This window comes from Homo sapiens, chromosome 16 (genome assembly GCF_000001405.40).
Source record: "Homo sapiens chromosome 16, GRCh38.p14 Primary Assembly".
In the NCBI taxonomy this organism is placed as follows: domain Eukaryota; kingdom Metazoa; phylum Chordata; class Mammalia; order Primates; family Hominidae; genus Homo; species Homo sapiens.
This window is the reverse complement of record NC_000016.10, coordinates 4,457,790-4,478,326: the sequence shown is the minus strand read 5'-3', so window position 1 is coordinate 4,478,326 and position 20,537 is coordinate 4,457,790. Positions and strand designations below refer to the sequence as shown.

General features: G+C 52.4%; 2 protein-coding genes across 24 annotated transcripts in view, besides 3 other annotated features; one reads left to right on the top strand and one right to left on the bottom strand.

Moving 5' to 3' along the window:
* The window catches only part of HMOX2 (heme oxygenase 2), a 35,612-nt gene extending 32,021 nt beyond the window's left edge, over positions 1-3,591 (bottom strand). For 6 of the 8 annotated variants that reach the window (NM_001127204.2, XM_017023196.3, NM_001286269.2 and 3 more), the window contains exon 1: positions 1,840-1,929. The gene's annotated coding sequence lies outside the window, so the exon portion shown is untranslated. Of the gene's footprint in view, positions 1-1,661; positions 1,930-3,479 lie in introns of those variants that run through there. The other 2 variants (NM_001127206.3, NM_001286268.2) reach the window with 2 other exon arrangements.
* Positions 1,632-2,133: an enhancer, noted in NCBI's record as "H3K27ac hESC enhancer chr16:4526195-4526696 (GRCh37/hg19 assembly coordinates)". NCBI's record gives its function as "activates a minimal SCP1, AML or CMV promoter by ChIP-STARR-seq in naive H9 embryonic stem cells {active_cell/tissue: H9 hESC(naive)}" and the evidence as "EXISTENCE:reporter gene assay evidence [ECO:0000049][PMID:30033119]".
* On the top strand, positions 1,990-16,633 carry NMRAL1 (NmrA like redox sensor 1). 16 transcript variants are annotated; one of them, NM_001351994.2, is made up of 7 exons: positions 1,990-2,090; positions 3,535-3,773; positions 4,161-4,234; positions 8,862-9,100; positions 11,925-12,174; positions 14,477-14,667; positions 16,368-16,633. In NM_001351994.2, the coding sequence occupies exons 3-7, from the start codon at positions 4,195-4,197 to the stop codon at positions 16,545-16,547; spliced, it is 900 nt and encodes a 299-aa protein (NP_001338923.1). In that variant the 5' UTR covers positions 1,990-2,090; positions 3,535-3,773; positions 4,161-4,194; the 3' UTR covers positions 16,548-16,633. The 16 variants fall into 16 exon arrangements, 15 of the variants coding, with proteins under 15 accessions (NP_001338923.1, XP_047290338.1, XP_047290337.1 ...); XM_047434382.1 differs by having other exon boundaries at positions 3,535-3,904; XM_047434381.1 differs by having other exon boundaries at positions 3,535-3,917.
* Positions 11,796-12,297: an enhancer, noted in NCBI's record as "H3K4me1 hESC enhancer chr16:4516031-4516532 (GRCh37/hg19 assembly coordinates)". NCBI's record gives its function as "activates a minimal SCP1, AML or CMV promoter by ChIP-STARR-seq in naive H9 embryonic stem cells {active_cell/tissue: H9 hESC(naive)}" and the evidence as "EXISTENCE:reporter gene assay evidence [ECO:0000049][PMID:30033119]".
* Positions 18,592-18,792: a silencer, noted in NCBI's record as "peak2472 fragment used in MPRA reporter construct". NCBI's record gives its function as "represses an SCP1 promoter by STARR-seq MPRAs in K562 erythroleukemia cells {active_cell/tissue: K562}" and the evidence as "EXISTENCE:reporter gene assay evidence [ECO:0000049][PMID:32103011]".

The window sequence follows — 20,537 nt, the reverse complement described above, 5'->3', positions numbered from 1 at the left end:
TCCAATTTTACAAGTTTTCAACAGACTTGATGAGGGGTGAGCTAAAGGCGGTCAATGCTTTATTGTCTGTAACTCACTGGCACTGGCATTTCTAGAGTTGCTCACGTTCCCCCTTTTGGTGACTCACAGCACTTCAACATGTTGCCACAGCCAAGGAAAAAAGGAAATCAAGTCAGACAATGGAGGAATCACAGGATTTCCCTCTTCACATCCCCAGGTAGATGAGGTCATTCAATGAGTGTGTTTCCAAGGCTCCACAAATTCCCACACCCTCACCAGTGTTTAAACCTGAATGTTTTATCTGATAACTTTTTCTAATTTCACCAAGTAAGCTTATATATGTCTTAACTGTGAACTCCTGATAAGCACAAATTTTGTCTTGTGATAATTTATTTTTTTCTTTTTTGAGACAGGGTCTCACTCTGTCACCCAGGCTGGAGTGCAGTGATGCGATCTCAGCTCACTGCAATCTCCACTTCGTGGGCTCAAGTGATCCTCCAACCTCAAACTCCCCAGTAGCTGGGATTACAGACACGCGCCACCCCGCCCGTTTAACTTTTTTGTATTTTTAGTAGAGACGGGGTTTCACCATGTTGGCCAGGCTGATCTCGAACTCCTGACCTCAGGTGATCCGCCTGCCTCGGCCTCCCAAAGTGCTGGGATTACAGGAGTGAGCCACTGCACCGGCCAGCGTTTCTTTCTTCAATCACACTCCACCTTGTCTGGTTTGTAGCGCCATCAACAAAACACAGTACGTAAGGATGGACAGCCACAGGCCACGACAACCGGCTCATCAGAAGCGATTTTTTTTTTTTTTTTTTTTTTTTTTAGATGGAGTCTTGCTCTGTCGCCCAGGCTGGAGTGCAATGGCGTGATCTCGGCTCACTGCAACCTCTGCCTCCCGGGTTCAAGCGATTCTCCTGCCTCAGCCTCCTAAGTAGCTGGAGCTACAGGCTCACGTTACCATGCCCGGCTGATTTTTGTATTTTTAGTAGAGACGGGGTTTCACTATGTTGGCCAGGCTGGTCTCGGACTCCTGACCTCAAGCAATCCGCCCGCCCTGGCCTCCCAAAGTGCTGGAATTACAGGCGTGAGCCACCGACCCGGCCCAGACGCGATTTAAATGGCATGACACAGGCAGGCCTCGTGCAAAGACTGCAAGGAGGTCCCGGCAGCTTTTGCAGGGCAATTAATCCACCCAGAGCACTGCGCTCAGAAAGTAATAGGTAAACCCGCGTCCGGACTAACCGGCTGCCCCCACACTTGATCCCTCCCAGTCCGACTCTGCTCCAGGGCGTACCAGGGTTCACTCGTGAAGTCACGACACCCACTCAAGGGGCACTTCCTATAGAGATAAGGGCATTAGAGGAAGGGCAGAGCCCCGGTCAATGCCAACAGCCCGGGAAACAGCCAAGCCGGGCTCCAATCTCTGCCGGCATCCCCTGTCTGCACCGCCGACGCCCCCAGCTACGACCCCGGGGGTCACCTCGCCCAGCATAGCCGTGACGCTGGGAGAGGGTGGGCCCAACGGGGACGCCAAAGAGAGCCATTCAGGCCTCCCCGCGCCCCCGGGGAGACGACTTCTGGAGAGCGGCGTCCGCGGTTTCGCCCTCCCCTGACAGCCCCTCCACGCCCTTCTTCGTCCTTCTGCCCGGCCTCACCCAGCTTCCGGCCGCCCCCGGCCGGGTCTCCCCTCAGACCGGCGCAGGGGACCCAAAGGGCTGTGGCCCGGCCAAGCCCAGGTCCGAAGGCCTGGACCGAGGCAGGGCCCGCGAAGGACGCAGCGCGGTCCGAGAAGCCGGGCGGAAGGAAGGCCCCGGGAGGGCGCGGACAGCTCACCTGCCGCAGGTCGCTGTCGCCTGTCCGCCAGCCTCCAGTCAGCGTGCCCGTCAGCGACTCCCTCAGGCGCCGCAGTCCCTGCAGCCCAGCGGACTGGCGCGAGGCCGGCGCAACGTGGGCACGCAGCGCGGGGCGGGGCCTAGAGATGACACGCCCCTTGTAGCTGACACGCCCTTGCCGGGGGCGGGAAGCGGAGTATGTGGCTTTCCCCAGGTCTCTGGAGGTTGCAGGCTCAGGCTCTGCTCAGCGGGGTAAGTAGGCGTGCTTCGGCAGGAACACTAGTGTTCACAAGAGCCGAGGTGTGTGAGGGTGCCTCAGGGTTGAGCACTTTTCTTCCCCAGTGTGGTTTAATCCTTGTACATCCACTCAGTGATGTAAGAAATAGGGTTGTCAACCGTGGCACCACCCACTTGGTCACTTGCCAATGCAATCTGCGAAACTGAGTCTCAACTCTGACACCTCGGTTACCAGTCTTGTATCTGATCTCCCTGTTGCATTATTCGCATTCTTCAAACAGCGGCCAGAATGACAGAATGATTTTTCTTTTTTTGAGACCGAGTTTTGCTCGTCGCCCAGGCTGGAGTGCAATGACGTGATCTCGGCTCACTGCAACCCCCTTCTCCCGGGTTCAAGCGATTCTCCTGCCTTAACCTCCCGAATAGCTGGGATTACAAGCGCCTGCCACCACGCCCGGCTAATTTTTGTATTTTTAGTAGAGACGGGGGTTTCACCATGTTGGCCAGGCTGGTCTCGAACTCCTGAGCTCAGGTGATCCACCCGCCTCGGCCTCCCAAATCACTGCAATTACAGGCCACCGCACCCAGCCCAGAGTCATTTTTTAGTTTTACTGAACACAAAGAAATTACTGAAATCGTGGGCCGGGTGTGGTGGCTCATGTCTGTAATCCCAGCACTTTGGGAGCCTGAGGCGGGAAGATCACTTGAGGTCAGCAGTTCGAGACCAGCCTGGCCAGCATGTTGAAACCCCGTCTCTACCAAAAATACAAAAAAATTTTAGCCGGGCATGGTGGCTCCTGCCTGTAATCCCAGCTACTCAGGAAACTGAGGCAGGAGAATCACTTGAACCCAAGAGGCGGAAGTTGCAGTGAGCCAAGATCGCACCACCACTGCACTCCAGCCTGGGCCACAGAGCAAGACTCCACCTTGAAAACAAAAAACAAAAACAAAAAAAAACTGAAATCAGTGCAAGTAGCAGCAACTTCAGAAGTGAGTTAGGGCTGGGCACGGTGGCTCCCACCTGTACTCCCAGCACTTTGGGAGGCTGAGGTGGGTGGATCACTTTAAGTCAGGAGTTCGAGACCTGCCTGGTCAACCTGGTGAAACCCCGTCTCTACTAAAAAATACAAAAATTAGCCGGGCTTGGTGGCACATGCTTGTAATCCCAGCTACTCGGGAGGCTGAGGCAGGAGAATCTCTTGAACCCGGGGGGCGGAGGTTGCAGTAAGCCGAGATCGCGCCACTGCACACCAGCCTGGGCGACGGACCAAGACACTGTCTCAAAAAAATAAAAATAATAAAATTTTAAAAGTGAGTTAGGCAAAGAAAATATCAAGCGGACAAGGCCTCAAGGGATAAGACTCATGGACATAGCTTTAATTATCTTTGCCTGACGCCCAATACCTGAAAATTAAGATGTTCATGCAAGATAAAGAGGTAATTTTTCTCCTCCTCCCAGTCATCACCCGTAGCATCCGGTTAAGAGGCTCTCCACCTCGCTCATTTTGGTCTAACTGGATTTACACAAACTCACTGTGCACGTGCCTGGGGCGGGCAAACCCGGAAACGACGCCGAGTCCCGCGGGATCCAGGAGGAGCCAACTGCGCCGGAGGAGGGGTTTCGGCCGACACGTCGGGATTGGCGGCTGCAGCCAGGGGTCCTCCGACGCTGGGCTTCCGTGAGCGGCGCTCTGCCAGGTGGGGCCGGAGCTGCGGGGAGGGAGTTGGCGCCTAGCGCGCAGCTCCATCCCCGCCTCTGCAGTGGACTCGGCCGCAGAATCGGGGTCCCGGGCTCCTGGAACTTGTCCCGCCCAGGCCGCGGCGAGGAGGTCACTCCAGCCGGTGGGACCCGGGCCGGGGGGCGGGTGACTGGAACCGGGGGAGGCGGGAAGGAGGAGGGGATCGGGCCCAAGGGACACGAGGTGGGTCGCGGGACCCCGATATCTCGGGACAGGCGTCTTGCCGCTCCGGGCCCAGCCGCCCCCTTCGACACATACTCGATGCATAGACAATGGGGGTGTCCTTTGTCGCTCCTGGCGGGAACCCCGGCCCCACCCCCAACTCCACGCCTCCCATTACCCCCAGATCTCTGGACCGGATTCGTCCCATTCTCGTCCTCATGGTGGACAAGAAACTGGTGGTGGTTTTCGGAGGCACAGGTGAGCCAAACCCCAGACTGGGGCCCTTGCAGAGCCAGGGCGCCTAGCCCTGAAGACCGCCCGTCCTGGGGTCTGCAGGGAGGGGTAAGGTCACTGGGACCCCCGACCCAGGTTGGGGCTGTGGTCGCAGGAACGAGGCCCAAATTGCTTTCCAATTTTTTTTTTTTTGGACGGAGTTTTGCTCTGTCACCCAGGCTGCAGTGCGATGGCACGATCTCGGCTCATTGCAACCTTTGCCTCCCGGGTTGAAGCGATTCTCCTGTCTCAGCCTCCCGAGTAGCTGGGATTACAAGGGCATGCCACCACGCCCGGCTAATTTTTGTATTTTTAGTAGAGACGGGGTTTCATCATATTGGTCAGGCTGGTCTCAAACTCCTGACCTCAGGTGATGACCCGCCTCGGCCTCCCAAAGTGCAGGTATTACAGGCATGAACCACCACGCCAGACCTGCTTTCCAAATTAAAAAAAAATGAGTTACTTAACTTATTTGAATAGGAGTACTTGAACATGATACCAAAATTAAATCTTCTTCCTAGCCTCCTCTTCCACCTCATCTATTGCTGTTACCAAGTTTCTTGAATATCCTGCCAGAGTAGATAACATGTTATCATTTTTTCAAATGATAGCATATTATTTCATTCCTATTTTTTCTTATTTATACATATTTAATATCTCTAACAGCTTTATTGAGATATAATTCACGTACTATACAATCTACCTGTTTAAAGTGTGCAACTCACTGGTTTCTAGTGTATTCATAGAATTGTACAACCATCACCACAATCAATTTTAGAAAATTTCCATCACTCCAAAAAGAAACTCTGGCCCAGGTGCAGTGGCTCAACCCTGTAATCCCAGCACTTTAGTTGGACCAAATGGGCAGATCGCTTGAGCTGAGGTGTTTGAGACCAGCCTGAACAACAGGGCAAAATCTCGTCTCTACAAAAAAATACAAAAATTAGTGGGGCGTGGTGTCATGCACCTATAGCTACCTAGGAGGTTGAGGTGGGAGGATCACCTGAGTCCAGCAGGTCAAGGCTGCAGTGACCTGATTGTGCCACTGCACTCCAGCCTGGGCAACAGAGTGAGACCTGATCTCAAAAAAAAAAAAAAAAAAAAGAACTCCATGAACCCGTGAACAGTTACTCCCCATTCTTACTCCTCCCAGCCAACCCCTAGAAAGCTCCAATCTACTTTTGGTTTCTATGGATTTGTCTATTCGGGACATTTCATATGAATAAAATCATAATATGTAGCCTTTTCTCTCTGGCTTCTTCAGTTAGCATGTTTTCAAGGTTTGTTCATGTTGTAGTGTGTGTCCGGGCTTTACTCTTTTTTTTTTTTTTTTTGAGACAGAGTCCCGCTCTGTTGCCCAGGCAGCAGTGCAGTGGCGTGATCTCTGCTCACTGCAACTTCTGCCACTCGGGTTCAAGCGATTCTCCTGTCTCACCCTCCTGAGTAGCAGGGACTACAGGCGTGAGCCACCATGCCTGGCTAATTTTTGTATTTTTAATAGAGATGGGGTTTTGCCATGTGGCCAGGCTGGTCTCAAACTCCTGACCTCAGGTGATCTGCCCACTTCAGCTTCCTAAAGTGCTGGGATTAGAGGCTTGAGCCACCGCGCCCGGCCAACTTTACTTTTTTATTTTTAAGACAGAGTTTCTCTCTTGTTGCCCAGGCTGGAGTGCAATGGTGTGATCTCTGCTCGCTGCAACCTCTGCCTCCCGGGTTCAAGCAATTCTCCTGCCTCAGCCTCCCAAGTAGCTGGGATTACAGGTGTGCACCACCACACCCAGCTAATTTTGTATTTTTTAGTAGAGACGGGGTTTCACCATGTTGGTCAGGCTGGTCTCGAACTCCTGACAGCTTTACTTATTTTTATGGCTGAGTAATATTCCACCGTATGGATAGACTATATTCTGTTTGTCCATTCGTCAGTGGATGGATACTTGATTTATTTCCACTTTTTGGCTATTATGAATAATGCTGCCATGGAACATTGGTGTACACTTTTTTCTGAGTCAGGGTCTTGCTCTGTTGCCCAGGCTGGAGTGCAGTGGCTCAATCATCACTCACTACAGCTTTGACTTCCAAGCCTCAAGCAATCCTCCTGACTCATTCGCCTGAGTAGCTGGGACTTCAGATGAGCGCTAACAGGCCCAGCTGATTTTTTAATTTTTTGTAGAGACTGGGTCTCACCCTGCTGCCTAGGCTGGTCTCAAACTCCTGGCCTCAAGCAAAACCCATCCCCCTTACCCTCCCAAAGTGCTTAGATTACAGCTATGAGCTACTGTGCCCGGCCTCAGTCCTTATTTTTGATGCATTTCTGTGTAAATTGCAGATATGTGTACACCGCCCTTCCATACTAAAGCATGCATAACATTAGCTAGAATTCAGTATTTGTTTATAGATTATTTTTAATTATGAGGTAAAATATACATATAATAAAGAATTTTTTTTTTTTTTTTTTTTTGGAGACAGGGCCTTACTCTGTTACCCAGGCTGGCGTGCAGTGGTGTGATCACGGCTCACTGCAGCCTCAACCTCCTGGGTTCAGGCTTTCCTCCAGCCTCAGCCTCCCTGGTAGCTGGGACTACAGGCACATGCCACCACGCCCAGCTAATTTTTGGTTTTTTTTTGTAGAGATATGGTTTCACCATGTTGCCCAGGCTGGTCTCAAACTCCTGAGCTCAAGAGATCTGCGTGCCTCAGCCTCCCAAAGTGTCTGGATTACAGGCATGAGCCCCTGGGCCCAGCTGCAACGCGCAAAATCTTAAGGGTACATCTGACCGATGCGCATGCCTGTGTGACTCAAGCTCCATCGAGATCTGAATAAGTTTTTGTATTCCTTTCTGTTAACTATTTTTCTTTGTCTCGTTTTTGAGCAGATCTGAATATGGTTGTGTATCTGAATATGGCTTTATATTCTACTTCAGGAAGAATTCAAATCCCATCAAGATCTGAATATGGTTTTTTCTTTTGTTTTGAGACAGAGTCTCACTGTGTCACCCAGGCTGGAGTGCAGTGGCCCAATCTCGGCTCACTGCAACCTCTGCCACCCTGGTTCAAGCGATTCTCCTGCCTCAGCCTCCCAAGTAGCTGGGATTACAGGCTCCACCATGCCCAGCTAATTTTTTTTTTTTTTTGAGACGGAGTCTTGCTCTGTCGTCCAGGCTGGAGTGCAGTGGCGCGATCTCGGCTCACTGCAAGCTCCACCTCCTGGGTTCATGCCATTCTCCTGCCTCAGTCTCCCGAGTAGCTGGGACTACAGGCGCCCGCCACCACGCCCGGCTAAGTTTTTGTATTTTTAGTAGAGACAGGGTTTCACCGTGTTAGCCAGGATGGTCTCGATCTCCTGACCTCATGATCCGCCCGCCTCGGCCTCCCAAAGTGCTGGGATTACAGTTGTGAGCTACTGCACCCGGCCTCATTTTTTTATTTTTAGTAGAGACGGGGTTTCACCATCTTGGCTAGGCTGGTCTTGAGCTCCTGACCTCGTGATCCACCTGTCTCAGCCTCCCAAAGTGCTAGGATTACAGCCACTGCACCCAGCCTGAATATGGTTTTGTATTCTACTTTTTTTACTTTATTACATCACAAATATTTTTACCTTTATTTTTTTGAGACCAAGTTTCGCTCTTGTTGCCCAGGCTGGAGTGCAATGGCGCGATCTCGGCTCACCGCAACCTCTGCCTCCTGGGTTCAAGCGATTCTCCTGCCTCAGCCTCTCGAGTAGCTGGGATTACAGGCATGTGCCACCACGCCTAGCTAATTTTGTATTTTTAGTAGAGACAGTGGTTTCTCCATGTTGGTCGGGCTGTTCTCAAACTCCCAACTTCAGGTGATCTACCCCCCTCGGCCTCTCAAAGTGCTAGGATTACAGGTGTGAGCCACTGCACCAGGCCCTTTTTTTTTTTTTTTTTTTTTTTTTGAGAGGGAATCTCACTTTGTCACCCAGGCTGGAGTGCAGTGGCGTGATCTGGGCTCACTGCAACCTCCGCCTCCTGTGTTCAAGCGATTCTCCTGCCTTAGCCTCCTGAGTAGCTGTGACTACAGGCGGGTGCCACCACGCCCGGCTAAGTTTGTATTTTTAGCAGAGACAGGGTTTCACTGTGTTAGCCAGGATGGTCTCGGTCTCCTTACCTGGTGATCCACTCGGCCTGGCCTCCCAAAGTGCTGTGATTACAGGCGTGAGCCACCATGCCTGGCCTTTTTTTTTTTTTTTTAATACAGATTCTCGCTGTGTCACCCAGGCTGTGGTGCAGTGGCGCAATCTCAGCTCACTGCAACCTCCGCCTCCTGGGTTCCAGCAATTCTCGTGCCTCAGCCTCCTGAGTAGCTGGGAGTACAGGCATGTGCCTTCACACCCAGCTAATTTTTGTATTTTTTGATAGAGGCGGGGTTTCACCAAGCCAAGATCGTGCCACTGCACTTCAGCCTGGGTGATAGAGTGAGACTCCATCTCAAAAAAATAAAATAAAGAAAATAAAAATACCTGAATGAGAATCGTCGTTGAGAAGGTTTCCTGGATGCTCCTTGCTGTGGTGGAGCACTCCCTTCGGGGTTTCGCCCTTCAGTGGGACTTTCAGGTAGGTCTGACCTGAGAGGTCTTTTTGATTCTTTGTAGGTGCCCAGGGTGGCTCCGTGGCCCGCACACTCCTGGAAGATGGGACATTCAAGGTTCGAGTGGTGACCCGAAACCCTAGGAAGAAGGCAGCAAAGGAGCTGAGGCTGCAAGGTGCAGAAGTAGTGCAGGGAGACCAAGATGACCAGGTCATCATGGAGCTGGCCCTGAATGGGGCTTACGCCACCTTCATCGTGACCAATTACTGGGAGAGCTGCAGCCAGGAGCAGGAGGTCAAGCAGGTGAGGGCAGGCAGGAGCTGCAGGGAGGCCCGGCCAGGCTAGGAGCAGAGCGCCTGGGAGGAGCTCCGACTCTGCAGGGAGGTTGGAGCACTGCAGGCCTTTCCCTCTTCTTCATGCCTCTGCCTGCTCTAGGCTGTGAAGCAGGTGGACGCTGTTGCTTTCTCATCCAATTACTTTTTTTTTGTTTGTTTGAGGCCGTCTCAGTCTCCGTGAGCAACCACGCCTGGCCTGTTCGTTTGTTTTTTTTTTTTTTAATCAAAAATGTTAGAAGTTTTTTTTAAAAAGTAATTTCCACTTTTATTTTAGATTCAGGGGTACATGCACAGGTTTGTTACATTGGTATATTGAGTGATGCTGAGGTCTGGGGTGTGACTGGACCTGTCACCCAGGTAGTGGGCACAGTACCCAGTAGGTAGGTTTTCAACCCTTGCCTCCCTCCCTCCCGTGGTTCCCAGTGTCTGTTGTTGCCTTCATGTCCACGTGTACCCATCCAAACTTGTTATTAGCCTTGACCCTTTCTTCAATTATGGTCTTACCTAGAAGCCCATTATATAGAGCAGACAAAGACAACTTCTCTGATTAACGCAGATCTTTTTTTTTTTTTTTTTTTTGAGACTGAGTCTTGCTCTGTCGCCCAGGCCGGAGTGCAGTGGGGTGATCTCGGCTCACTGCAACCTCTGCCTCCCAGATTCAAGCAATTCTTCTGCCTCAGCCTCCCGAGTAGCTGGGATTATAGGTGTGTACCAGCACACCCAACTAATTTTTGTATTTTTAGTAGAGGCGGGGTTTCACCATGTTGGCCAGGCTGGTCTTGAACTCCTGACCTCAGGTGATCCGCCCACCTCGGCCTCCCAAAGTGCTGGGATTACAGGCGTAAGCCACATGCCCGGCCCTGAGCTGATCTTATTTCTTTCTTTATTTTTTGAGGCCGAGTTTCGCTTTTGTTGCCCAGGCTGGCATGCAATGGCGCAATCTTGGCTCACCGCAACCTCCGCCTCCTGGGTTCAAGTTATTCTCCTGCCCCAGCCTCCCGAATAGCTGAGATTACATGCATGCGTCACCATGCCCTGGTAATTTTTTTGTATTTTTAGTACAGACGGGGTTTCTCCATGTTGGTCAAGCTGGTCTCTAACTCCCGGCCTCAGGCGATCCGCCTGCCTCGGCCTCCCAAAGTGCTGGGACTGCGGGCATGAGCCACTGCGCCCAGCCCAGCAGATCTTATTTCTAATCCTGATGATTCCCTGTGGGCTTCCTGGTACTGTCACGAAAAAGGACCACAATCCACGTGGCTTAAAACCATAGAAATCAGCTGGGCACAGTGGCTCATGCTTGTAATCCCCACACTTTGGGAGGCCGAGGCGGGCAGATCACTTGAAGTCAGGAGTTTGAGACCATCCTGGCCAACACAGTGAAACCCTGTCTCTACTAAAAATACAAAAATTAGCTGGGCATGGTGGTGGGCGCCTGTAATCCCAGCTACTCAGGAGGCTGAGGCAGGAGAATTGCTTGAACCCAAGAGGCGGAGGTTGCAGTGAGCCAAGATTGTGCCACTGCACTCCGGCCTGAGCGACAGAGCTAGACTCTGTCTCAAAAACAAAAACAAAAACCACAGAAATCGATTCTCTGATATTCTAGAAGCTAGAAGTTCAAAATCAAGGTGTCAGCAATGTCACCCTCTCTCCAGAGTCTTGGAGGCCAGGCGTGGTAGTTTATGCTTGTAATCCCAGCACTTTGGGAGGCTGAGGTGGGCAGATCACTTAAGGTCAGGAGTTCAAGACCAGCCTGGCCAACACAGCAAAACCCTGTCTCTACAAAAAATACAAAAATTAGCCAGGCATGGTGGCGGGCACCTGTAGTCCCAGCGACTCAGGAGGGTGAGGCAGGAGAATTGCTTGAATCCAGGAAGCGGAGGCTGCAGTGAGCAGAGATCACGCCACTGCACTCCTGCCTGGGTGACAGAGTGAGAGTCCATCTTAAAAAACAAAACAAAACAAGGGGTTTGAGGGAAATCCTTCTTCACTGTTTCTGGCTTCTCATGGCTCCAGGTGTTCCTGGGCTTGTGGCCACAAAGCTCCAATCTCCGCTTCCCTCTTCGCATGGCCTTCTCCAGGTGTTGTCTCTTCTCCCGTCTCTTATAAGTACCCTGGTTACTGGATTTAGCGCCTATCTAGTTAGTGCAGGATGTTCCCATCTCAAGATCCTTCACGTAATTACATCTGCCAAGACCCTTTTTCCGAATAAGGTCACATTCACAGTTTTCAGGAATGAGGATGCGGCATATCTTTTTGGAGGCCACCGTCCGAATCTCTGCGTCACCTCATGCAGTAGGTAGTGTTGTCATCTGCATTTTACCAGCGAGGTCAGGATGGTGCCATCACTTCTCTGGGGTCACACTGCTCGTACATGGCAGAGCCTGATTTGAACCTAGGCAGCTGTGGTGCCTCTGTATAGCCTCCCAGGGCTCTCCAAGGAAGATGGCTGAGCTCCATGGGCAGGGTGTTCTCACACCAGCAGAGATGGGACGTGTGCATTCTCCTTTAGACCTCCATGCAGGCCGTCCCCCTGCAGCCGACCTGCCCCCCCGTCCTATGTTGCACATGGTGGGCCAGAGTCAGTGGCTGGTAGAAGGCTTCCGGGGCTGTGTTTACGGGCGTGGTGTCATGTGTGAACATCATTCCAGGAGAGGGGGCCTCCTCAAGGGTAAGTGGGGTCTAGATGTTAACCTCGCAGATGGTGGCCGCTCCGGGATTAGAATGCTGGGGCTGTGACCAGGGACAGACATCCTTCTTCTGAGCCTTGTGATCTCTCCTTCCCTGCCCTCCAGGGGAAGCTGCTCGCTGATCTGGCCAGGCGCCTGGGCCTCCACTATGTGGTCTACAGCGGCCTGGAGAACATCAAGAAGCTGACGGCAGGGAGATTGGCCGCCGCGCACTTTGACGGCAAAGGGGAGGTGGAGGAATATTTCCGGGACATTGGCGTTCCCATGACCAGTGTGCGGCTGCCCTGCTATTTTGAGAACCTCCTCTCCCACTTCTTGCCCCAGAAAGCCCCAGACGGAAAGAGCTACTTGCTGAGTAAGTGCCCTTTCTCGCACACGGTGAGGCAGAGCTCTCACCCTGTAAAGCCGTTGGTGTAACAGACCGCGGGCCGCTGTCACGTGGTGCCAGGTTCAAGCCGTGGCTCCCTCACGTTAGGCCCAGGACTGAGCACATCCTGTCAGCTTGCGGGGCCTCAGCTTCCTGTTCTGTGAGATGGGCTCTATACCAATGTTTGCAGGGGTGGCAAGATCTGCTGAGATGGTGGTGACACGATATTCGCTTGGTCCATTGGAAGGCTTTACAGAGAGGACCTAGTGATTGTCAGTTCTCCTTCAAAGATGAGGAGGGCCGGGCGCTGTGGCTTATGCCTGTAGTCCCAGCACTTTGGGAGGCTGAGGCGGGGAGACCAGCCTGGCCAACATGGTGAAACCCCATCTCTACTAAAAATACAAAAATTAGCTGGGCGTGGTGCCACCCACCTGTACTGGCAGCTACTAGGGAGGCTGAGGCAGGGGAATCGCTTGAACCCAGGAGGTGGAGGTTGCAGTGAGCTGAGATTGTGCCACTGCACTCTAGCCTAGGCGACAAGAGCAACACTCCGTCTCAAAACAAACAAAACAAAACAAAACAAAACAAAAAAACCAAAGACGAGGAGAGGATTTGGAAAATGAAGTTCAGTTGCAGATTTCACAAACTAGGAAAGCTCTTTCTTCTCAGTGCCCATTGGGGCTATAAACAGGTTAGGTGCACTGGCCCTGGCTGGGAACAAGGCTCACCCAACCTGTGTCCTGCTGGTCACTCAGTGATCAGGGCAGGAGGGGTTGGTGCCTCTGGCTGGCCACTCCTTACCCTCTGGTTGAATGCCAGGTCACCCTCGCATAAGGGCCCAGCCCATGGGAGTCCTGCTCACCTGGCGGGCCAAGTCTGGTGGTAACAGTAGCCCTTTGGTACCACCATTTATTATAGTTTGCAAAGCTGGCCAGGCGCAGTGGCTTACGCCTGTAATCCCAGCACTTTGGGAAGCCGAGGTGGGCAGACCACCAGTTCAGGAGTTTGAGACCAGCCTGGCCAGCATGGTGTGAAACCCCATCTCTACTAAAAATACAAAAATTAGCCAGCCTGGCGTGGTGGTGCACGCCTGTAATCCCAGCTACTCGGGAGGCTGAGGCAGAAGAATCGCTTGAACCCAGGAGGCAGAGGTTGCAGTGAGCCGAGATCGTGGCACTGCACTCCAGCCTGGGTGACAGAGCAAGACCCCGTCTCAAAAAAAAAAGGCCGGGCACGGTGGCTTACGCCTGTAATCCCAGCACTTTGGGAGGCCGAGGAGGGCGGATCACGAGGTTCAGGAGATCGAGACCATCATGGCTAACTTGGTGAAACCCCTGTCTCTACTAAAAATACAAAAACTTAGCCGGGTGTGGCGGCAGGCGCCTGTAGTCCCAGCTACTCGGGAGGCTGAGGCAGGAGAATGGTGTGAACCCGGGAGGTGGAGCTTGTGGTGAGCCAAGATTGCGCCACTGCACTCCAGCCTGGGCGACAGAGCGAGACTCCATCTCAAAAAAAAAAAAAAAAAAAAACCTGCAGTCAGGGATATCTCCTGCTCCGGTCTGTGCGCTCTGTGCCCTCGAGCTCCCAGGTGATCTGAACAGGAAGCTGCACTGGCCCCTGTCTCTAGGTAAGGAGGATAGGACCCAAGCATTCCACAGGCCACACCCAGACAGTTGCCAGCCTCCCCATCTACAAAACCTCAGCCTGGAAGTTTGCGAGTCATTCATTCATTCAGGATTTATGAAGCATTTATCATGGACGTGCTGCTCTAGGCCAGCCGTTGGTGTCTGGTTAATCAGGATTCCTGGTAAGTGAGTTGGTATTTGGAGTATCTACTCAGAGGTGGACGTTCCAGCTTCCAGGAATCTAGGATATGACAGAGTACTTCAGGCTGGTGCCTCCAGATTAGCGGAGACCCTGGGCTCCAGCCACACTCTCTGTAGCAGCTTTCAGAGTCCTTTTCCTTTGTCCCTTCTCTGTCATCCTAGCGCTGAGAGAGCTGGGCAGGCCCAGGTTCTTAGCCCCATTCTAGGAATGCAGCAACCCAGGCTCAGAGAGCCTCAACAGCCTGCCCTAGGTGGCAGTACCCGGATTCCATCCCGTTTCCTGACTCAATTCCACTGCTGCCTCTGTGCTACCACAAATAGCAAGACTTGTCTTAGCTATGCCCGAGTGCTGGAGTGTGCAGCTGACTGCTGGGAAGAACCAGCTTGGACCCTTTGGAGAGGGGCTCTGTCCCTGCCCCTGTCTGCCCTCGGGACATATACCAGCTCACGTCTCTGCCCCACAGGCTTGCCCACAGGTGACGTTCCCATGGATGGCATGTCCGTGTCTGACCTGGGTCCTGTGGTGCTCAGCCTTTTGAAGATGCCAGAAAAATACGTCGGCCAGAACATCGGGCTGAGCACTTGCAGGCACACGGCCGAGGAGTACGCTGCCCTGCTCACCAAGCACACCCGCAAGGTCGTGCACGATGCCAAGGTGGGCCTCCCGCCCCAGGTGACTCAGGCATCCTTGTCAGGGCTTTCTAGCTCCCGTAGGGAGGGTGTGTCCAGGGCTGCCCACACCTCTGGGCAGTACATCTAAATTCATTCGTTCATCGTCAACGTTTATTTTCTGCTGTTCCAGGAGCTAACTGGCCACAGAGTGAAATTTCTGGCTTAGATGTTTTGACCAAATAGAGAGAAAAGCTTCCAGGAGGAGAGGGCCATAGGAGCCAAGGCAAGGAGGGGTGAAAATGCAGGCCCTGCCGGGCTCCTCTGTGGGAGGGAATTTGAAGAGAAAAGAGTCTGGAAAGATAGACCCGACCCCTCCCCTGTGGGAGGGGATTTAAAGGGAAAGAGGCTAGAAAGATAGGGCCGACCCCTGCCCCCATTGGCCTGGCTGGGTGGGCAGGAGGCCTACTGGACAGACTCTTGGGTACCTGGTTTCTAATGTTTGTCATTACCATTAGGAAAGTAAGACATACTCATTAAAGAATCTGGGAGGCTGGGTGCAGTAGCTCACGCCTGTAATCCCAGCACTTTGGGAGGCCGAGGCAGGTGGATCACCTGAGGTCAGGAGTTTGAGACCAGCCTGGCCAACAGGGTGAAACCCCATCTCTACTAAAAATAAACAAATTAGCCGGGTGTGGTGGCAGGCGCCTGTAATCCCAGCTACTTGGGAGGCTGAGGCAAGAGAATCGCTTGAACTCAGGAGGCAGAGTTTGCAGCGAGCCGAGATGCCACTGCACTCCAGACTGGGCGACAGAGCGAGACTCCAACTCCAAAAAAAAAAAAGAATCTGGGAAACACTGGAGTCCTTAAAAGACGAAAGTTGGGTCAGGCGCGGTAGCTCACACCTGTAATCCTAGCACTTTGGGAGGCTGAGGCGGGCAATTACAAGGTCAGGAAATCGAGACCATCCTGACTAACACGGTGAAACCCCGTCTCTACTAAAAATACAAAAAATTAGCCCGGCGTGGTGGGCCTAACTCCTGGGCTCAAGCGATCCTCCCACCTCCACCTCCCAAAGTGCTGGGATGACAGGTGTGAGCCACTGTGTCTGGTCAAGCTTTGGTTTTTGAGAAAGAAAGTGATGCAGGCAGGTCTCTGATTTGGAAGGGACTGAGATATTTTCGTCTCATGATCTGAAAATAATAGTCTTTTTATTTATTCATTTTTGAGACAGGGTCTCACTCTTGTTGCCCAGGCTGGAGTACAGTGGGGTGATCTCAGCTCACTGCAACCTCCACCTCCTGGTTTCAAGCGATTCTCCTGTCTCAGCCTCCTAAGTAGCTGGGATTACACGCACCTACCACCAGGCTGGCTAATTTTTGTATTTTTGAAAGAGACGGGGTTTTATCGTGTTGGCCACGCTGGTCTCGAACTCCTGGCCTCAAGAGATTTGCCTGCCTCAGCCTCCCAAAGTGCAGGGATTACGGGCATGAGCCACAGCATCTGGCCAAGAACAATCTTTAAACTGATCTACAATGTCAGGCAGCTCAGGAGAGCAGCAGTTTCTGAACTTTCGGCTCTTAGAAGTTTTCAAATGACCTTGTACGGAGGACCTGGGTCAGGGACCGAGACAATAGTGGCTCTGGGTGTAGCAGGTCGGGAGACCCCAGCCCATCCGGCCTCCCTGCCCCGCCACCTCCCGGGGCACTGGAGGACGCCGGCCACGACAGGCTCCTCTGCTTCCAGATGACTCCTGAGGACTACGAAAAGCTTGGCTTTCCCGGTGCCCGGGACCTGGCCAACATGTTCCGTTTCTATGCCCTGAGACCCGACCGTGACATCGAGCTGACCCTGAGACTCAACCCCAAGGCCCTGACGCTGGACCAGTGGCTGGAACAGCACAAAGGGGACTTCAACCTGCTGTGACCTGCCCGCCTCGCGGCCCCTTGTGGGGATCGGGGGCACCAGAGGGGCAGAGGCACCAACATCTGAATAAAGCCATTGTTCTCCCAGATGGCTTCCAGGAGAAGAGGACTCTGCTTCCAGGACTTGGGTTGGGGTGGTAGTTGTGTACCAACACAACAGTAAGTGGTTGGGGAGGGTCCGGGGCTGTACCAACACAGCAGTAAGTTGGAGCGGGGGGGGGGGGTCCAGGGCTGTACCAACACAGCAGTAAGTGAGGGGACCCGGGGTTGTACCAACACAGCAGTAAGGGGTGGCTCCAGGGCTGTACCAACACAGCAGTAAGGGAGGGTCCAAGGCTGAAGGGATCACTTGGTGACTGGGACGAGTGACCTAAACGTGTTTAGTCAGACAGGTGTGAAGTGGCCTGTTCTGACCTCAGCTAGCAGAACAGCTCTGACCAGCAGCCTCTGTTCCCACATTTGAAATTCATTCACAGACGGGGACATAGCACAGGACACAGAGGAGCCCCAGGAGCCGAGCTTCTGACACACCCCTTTCATCTCCAGAGCTAGTGAGGCCATCTGCACATGTGAACTGGAGACAGGCTCTGCAGGGAGGCGGGGGAGATATGGGCTTCTCCCTTTCTCTCCTCATCCTTGTCCTGGAAGGAGCCGGCCTTGGGGTACCATCCTGGACACAGGTGAACTTCAAACAGGTTGGAAAAAGGAAAATCGGATGTGGCAGAGCTGTGGTCCACAACGCACAGTAATTGGACACTGCTGGGAAGCAAAACTGAAGGAGAAACAACCCACCTTGCTTGCTGGGGTGGGTCACAGAGAAGAGGGTCAGAGGCCGAGAGACCAGTTATTTGCCTGAGAGTTTGTGGTCCATGGCAGCTCCGATTTTTTTTTTTTTTTTTTTTTTTGAGACGGAGTCTCCCTCTGTCACCCAGGCTGGGGTGCAGTGGCACGATCCCAGCTCACTGCAGCCTCCACCTCCTGGGTTCAAGTGATTCTCCTGCCTCAGCCTCCCGAGTAGCTGGGATTACAAGCATGCACCATCACGTCCAGCTAATTTTTGTATTTTTAGTAGAGACGGGGTTTCACCATATTGTCCAGGATGGTCTCGATCTCTTGACCTCGTGATCCGCCCGCCTCGGCCTTCCAAAGTGTTGGGATTACAGGCATAAGCCACCGCGCCTGGCCAATTTTTTTTTTTTTTTTTTTTTTTTTTAAAGAGTCAAGGTCTCGCTCTGTTGCCCAGGCTGGAGTGCAGTGGCACAGTCATAGCTCACTGCAGCCTTCACCTCCCAGGCTTAAGTGATCCTTCCACCTCAACCTCCTGAGTAGCTGGGATTATCGTACAGGTATGAGCCACTGAGCCCAGCAGTTCTGTGAATTTCAATTCAACACATTTAGGTTTGTGTGACTACCATCACAGTTTTTATTTTTTTACTTCCCCACCCTGGCTCTGGCACCCCCAGGCACAAAAATTCATTCTATCCATTGACTGAAGCATTTCTTTGACAATTTACCAGTATGCTGGGCCCTAAATACAATGTAGCAAAAAAAGTTATGCTGCCTGCCTTGAGGAGCTTATATTTAGTGGGAGAGCCTGATAGAAACACACAATAAATAGTTATGTATCTACGCCTGTAATTCCGGCACTTTGGGACGCTGAGGTGGAGGATGGCTTGAGTTCAGGAGTTCGAGACCAGCCTGGGCAACATAGCAAGACCCCATCTCTACCTAAAAAAAAGAAATACAAAAGAAACTAGGGCCAGGCGTGGTGGCTCATGCCTGTAATCCCAGCACTTTGGGAGGCCAAGGCAGGTGGATCAGTTGAGGTTGGGAGTTCGAAACCAACTTGGTCAACATGGCAAAACCCTGTCTCTACCAAAAAATACAAAAATTAGCTGGGCGTGGTGGCGTGTGCCGGCAGCTACTCAGGAGGCTGAGGCAGGAGAATCAGCTGAACCCAGGAGGTGGAGGTTGTGGTGAGCCGAGATTGTACCACTGCACTCCAGCCTGGGCGACAGAGGGAGACTCTGCCTCAAAAACAAAAAAACAGAAGAAATGGTGGCAGGCGTGGTGGCATGTGCCTGTACTCCCAGCTACTCAGGAAGCTGTGGTAGGAGGATCACTTGAGCCCAGGAGGTCAAGGCTGTGGTGAGCTGTGATTGCACCACCACAAGCCAGCCAGGGCAACAGAGTGAAAGCCTGTCTCAAAAACAAAACAAAACCCAAAAAACAAATTGACATAAGGGCTGCAAAAAACAAAACAGGAAGGATAAATAAATGGGGACAGGAGCAGCATCGGGGGAGGTGACCAGTAAGCTAAGGTCTGTGGATCATGCCCTTGGCCATATAACTATGGACCCACTTCGCCTTTTATGTTCCCCCCTGGCCCATTTGTGACCCTTGAAGAGTCATGAGAAATAAGCAGAACTTCTAGTTAAAAGATAAGACCTGCACAGTATTTATTAACAAGCAAGAGTGTGAAACAAGCCTCTTCCAGGAGCCGTGCAGCTGCCGTCCTCCACATCAGAGCCGGCTCTGCAGTGCTACAAACACAGAGGGGCAGGGGCAGCTGGAGGCCTGTGGGCCTGGAGAGAATTCTTGCACACTGTTTGGTTGACAGGGAAGGAAACAAAGGCCAGGCCACCAGAACCCAAAGGACTATGAGTGAGGAGGGGGCTCAGGTTGGAAACAACCCAGTCCCAGGCCTGAGGTGGGAATGGGGCTGAGGACCAATGCCTGAGAGCTGGCCTTGTCCACCCTCCTAATGTTTTTTTTGAGATGGAGTCTCACCCTGTCACCCAGGCTGGAATCCAGTGGCGCAATCCTGGCTCACTGCAACCTCCACCTCCAGGGTTCAAGCGGATCTCCTGCCTCAGCCTGCCGAGTAGCTCGGATTACAGGCGCCCACCACCAAGTCTGGCTAATTTTTGTATTTTTAGTAGAGACAGGGTTTCACCATGTTGGCTAGGCTGGTCTTGAACTCGTGACCTCATGATCCGCCCACCTTGGCCTCCCAAAGTGCTGGGATTACAGGTGTGAGCCACCACGCCCGGCCCACCCTCCTAATGTTTAAGCAAGTGCCAAACATGTACCTCCCACAGGCTCACAGGCCTAGAAATACTTTATTTTCTTGAGACATGGTCTGGCTCTGTCACCTAGACTGGAGTGGAGTTGCATGATCACAGCTCACTGGAGCCTTGAACTCCTCAGCTCAAGCAATCCTGCCACCTCAAGATTTCTAAGTAGCTGGGACTACAGGTGCCAAGCCACCACTCCCAGCTAATTTTTTAGAATTTTTTTGTAGAGATGGGGGTCTCACTCTCTCGCTCCTGGGCTCACACATTCCTCCCTCCTTGGCCTCCTAAAGTGTTCAGATTACAGGCGTGAGCCACCATGCCTGGCCCTTTTCTTATATTTTTAAATACATACTACTACTCAGAAGCTATAAAGAAGTCTGGTAACAAATACATCAGGAGCACAAGTGGAAATAAACCAAACCCAGGCCCAGAAAGAGCACTGAATTCTACAGCTGTTGCACGGCCACCTTTTTTTTTTTGAGATGAAGTCTCGCACTGTCGCCCAGGCCGGAGTGCAATGGCATGATCTCCAATCACTGCAACCTCCACCTCCTGAGTTCAAGTGATTCTCCTGTCTCAGCCTCCTGAGAAGCTTGGATAACATGCATGTGCCACCACGCCTGGCTAATTTTTTTGTATTTTTATAGAGACGGGGTTTCACCATGTTGGCCAGGCTGGTCTTGAACTCCTAACCTCAGGTGATCCACCCGCCTCAGCCTCCCAAAGTGCTGGGATTATAGGTGTGAGCCACCTCGCCTGGTCATGCACAGCCACCTCTAATCCCTTGAGGGAAGGATGCTTCAACACAACAATGGTTTCTGTTTAGCAAGAAAATCCACCTTTCTCTTCCAAAGTCTTTCTCTAGACTTCTGCTTTGAAGCAATAGGACATGAATGAGACTCAGGGTGACTGTT